Raw genomic sequence first — 3,176 nt, 5'->3', positions numbered from 1 at the left:
AAGGAGAGAACAAGCAGAAGAAATAATTAATACCAATCCATAAGTTCCGAGTCTAATAAATCTCAACTAGAATAGATAAAAAGACATCCACACATAAATCCATCATGGAGAAATTCCAGAAAAACAAACACAAAGAGTAAATATATATATATACACACATATAAAAAGATAGATCAATAGAAAAACATATAGACTGAGCACTGACTTCTCAAAAATAGAAACGTTTGTGGCTGGGCGCGGTGGCTCACACCTGTAATCCCAGCACTTTGGGAGGTCGAGGCGGGCGGATCACGAGGTCAGGAGATCGAGACCACCCTGGCTAACACGGTGAAACCCCGTCTTTACTAAAAATACAAAAAATTAGCCGGGCATGGTGGCGGTCGCCTGTAGTTCCAGCTACTCCGAGGCTGAGGCAGGAGAATGGCGTGAAACCGGGAGGCGGAGCTTGCAGTGAGCCGAGATCGCGTCACTGCGCTCCAGCCTGGGCGACGGAGCGAGACTCCGTCTCAAAAAAAATAGAAACGTTTGTTAGTTTGTTAGAAGATGCTGAAGTGGTATTTTATATTCAATGTGCTGAGATAATATAAATGCTAAACTACACTAGGAATTTATTATATCAGGACAAATTCATCTTTCAAGACTTAGTAATTAACGACATTATCAAATAAACAACAAAAAAGGAACTATTTGCCACCAGCAGGTTTTCTCAAATGGAAATCTGGGCAGATAAATGATCAAAATACTAAATCAAAAGACAAACATGCACAATCAGAAGTATATCAAAAATTAGGATTCAGAAAGGTTGAAAGTAAAAAGATAAAATGTTAAAGTTTAAATCATAGGGGAAAAAAAGAAGTTTAAAGAATAGAAAGTGAAAAAGGATGAAAAATACACAGCAGAAGAGACCTGGGGCAGCTACACTAATATTACTTTAAAGAAAAAAGCATTACCAGGTGTATTAGTTCATTCTCACACTGCTATAAAGAACTACCTGAGACTAGGTAATTCATGAAGAAAAGAGGTTTAACTGACTCACACTTCTGCAGGCTTAACAGGAAACATGATTGGGCAGCCTCGGGAAACTTACAATTATGGTGGGAGGCGAAAAGGAAGCACGCACCTTCTTCGGATGGTGGCAGGAGAGAGACAGAGCGAAAGGGGAAGTGCCACACACTTTTAAAGCATCAAATCTCGTGATAACTCACTGTCACGAGAACAGCAAGGGGGAAATCTCCGGCCATAATCTAATCACCTCCCACCAGGCCCCTCCTCCAATTTGACACGAGATTTGGGCGGGAACACAAATCCAAACCATATCACCAGATATAAAGTCACTTTGGAATGGCCAAAGTTTTATTACATTGGGAAAATATAGCAATTTTAAATTTGTATGCACTTTGTAACATCGCCTCACATCATATAAAGCAAGACTGACAGAAATATAAATAAAGATAAACCCTCAGTCATAGAGGGGGATTTTAATACAAACTTTTCAGAAACTTACAAATCAAGCAAACAAAAATTAAGATGCAAAAATATTGAACTTCATGATCAGCACATAGAAGACGCTGCTGAGCAATCAAAACTGCACAGGGCATGCTCCTTCTAAATATATGGGGAGATGGAGTTCAGCTTCAGCCTGGACCTCTGGGGAACTCTGGAGAAGAATGACACACAGAGCTGGTCCACCTGGAGGCAAGAGGCCTAGCTTTTGTAGAAACATGTCCATTTGTCCCTGACTTCAGACTGCCCCTGCGTCAGGGTGGGGTTATACCGACCCATGTAAGACATCTGCTATTCAGAAGAGGGTCATTCTCTGGGGAAGGGGACAGTTCTGAGAAGTTAGCAGTCATCCTAACACAAGTTGGGTGATAATTGCACTGGCCTGTTAGGATCTGGGTGTGGTGCCAGTAGTATCCAGCACTGTCTAGCTCTTGCTTCTCAGGCTACTCAGATCTACTTGCTTCTCTCTTTAAGTTTTTTCCATCCAGGGACAATTTGTCCAGGATCTTTGTTGGTCCTGATTTCTGGGCAATGTATAAGAGGAGAATTACTGAAATGAACAACAGCCAGTGCTGCTACAGCTGGCCCGAACTCAGTAAATGATGCTCATCCCCTCTCTTATTTGGATCCCTCTCCCTCTCAGCTCGTGTCTCATGGAGTGACCCAGCCCATCAATCCTGAAGGGTCTGAGCCCCTGGTTATCATGTATTTGCTAAGATATTTTATGCAATAAATGAGTTCTTCATGGTTAGTTTTGGAACCAAAGCTTTACTCCTATCTTGTAGCAGCCTTTATTAAATGGTCAAAATATTCTTCATTTTGTTGCTGAGTGATTCACTTGAAACTTGACCTTTGTTTTTAGAAGTCCACCAGTTCCTTTGGGCGATTGGCTCAGCTGTGGCTCAACACAATGAGGCCTCTGTTTTGCTCCCAGCACGAGTGCTTAATTGGCATTACTGTTTACTCCTGATTTCACAGGCTTCCTTTTGTTTTTTTTTCTCTAAAACCTAGTTTCCTCTGAAAATATAATTCTAAAGTACAACAAAACGGTGATGTAGAAAATATTTTTGATTAATCTGTAAAGTACGCACAGTGTGAATATCACACCTACTTCTCCACCATAGGATTTTCCAAGTACAGTGTGTCCGTCACCTCTCCGATGTCATTAGGCAGTTATTTTTTCCATAAGAAAAATCAATTGCATTCCTTGCCCAAAGATATTTCTGCCCAGTATAAACATCACAGCTTCTGTCTCTTTGAGGTTTAATAGCATCTTTCTATGAACTTACCCTTATTTTCTGTTGATGGGTATACTAAGGCTTCTCCCATCCACAGCTGATTTCAATGACACAATTAAAGGCCATATGCCAACCTTTCAAAGACCTCCACTCTGACTCAGCAGATGGATTTTTACCACCTACTTGCGCTCACCTGTTTTTAGTGCTTCAGATAACACAGCTACAATGTAAGTGCAGGGTCTATAGGTGTTGCAGAACTGGTCCAGATGGTGGTTGAAGCACACAGACTCGCAGGACAGGGAGGAAAGTAGGCAAGTCCACTCTGGCCTGTTAGGAAAGGATGTCTGTTTTATAAAGAGGAATTCTCCACAGTTGCCTTTCCTACTCCAGAGATACTTAATGAGAACCTCTCTGGAAATAGTTAAGATGGTCCAG

At 41.4% G+C, this 3,176-nt stretch overlaps 1 annotated feature.

The window, feature by feature from the left end:
• Positions 2,236-2,530: an enhancer, noted in NCBI's record as "tiled region #15039; HepG2 Activating non-DNase unmatched - State 9:DNaseU". NCBI's record gives its function as "activates a minimal TATA promoter and a strong SV40 promoter by Sharpr-MPRA in HepG2 cells {active_cell/tissue: HepG2}" and the evidence as "EXISTENCE:reporter gene assay evidence [ECO:0000049][PMID:27701403]".

This window comes from Homo sapiens, chromosome 13 (genome assembly GCF_000001405.40).
Source record: "Homo sapiens chromosome 13, GRCh38.p14 Primary Assembly".
Taxonomy (NCBI): Eukaryota; Metazoa; Chordata; class Mammalia; order Primates; family Hominidae; genus Homo; species Homo sapiens.
Note: the sequence above shows the minus strand (reverse complement) of the source record. Positions and strands in the feature narration are given on the sequence as shown.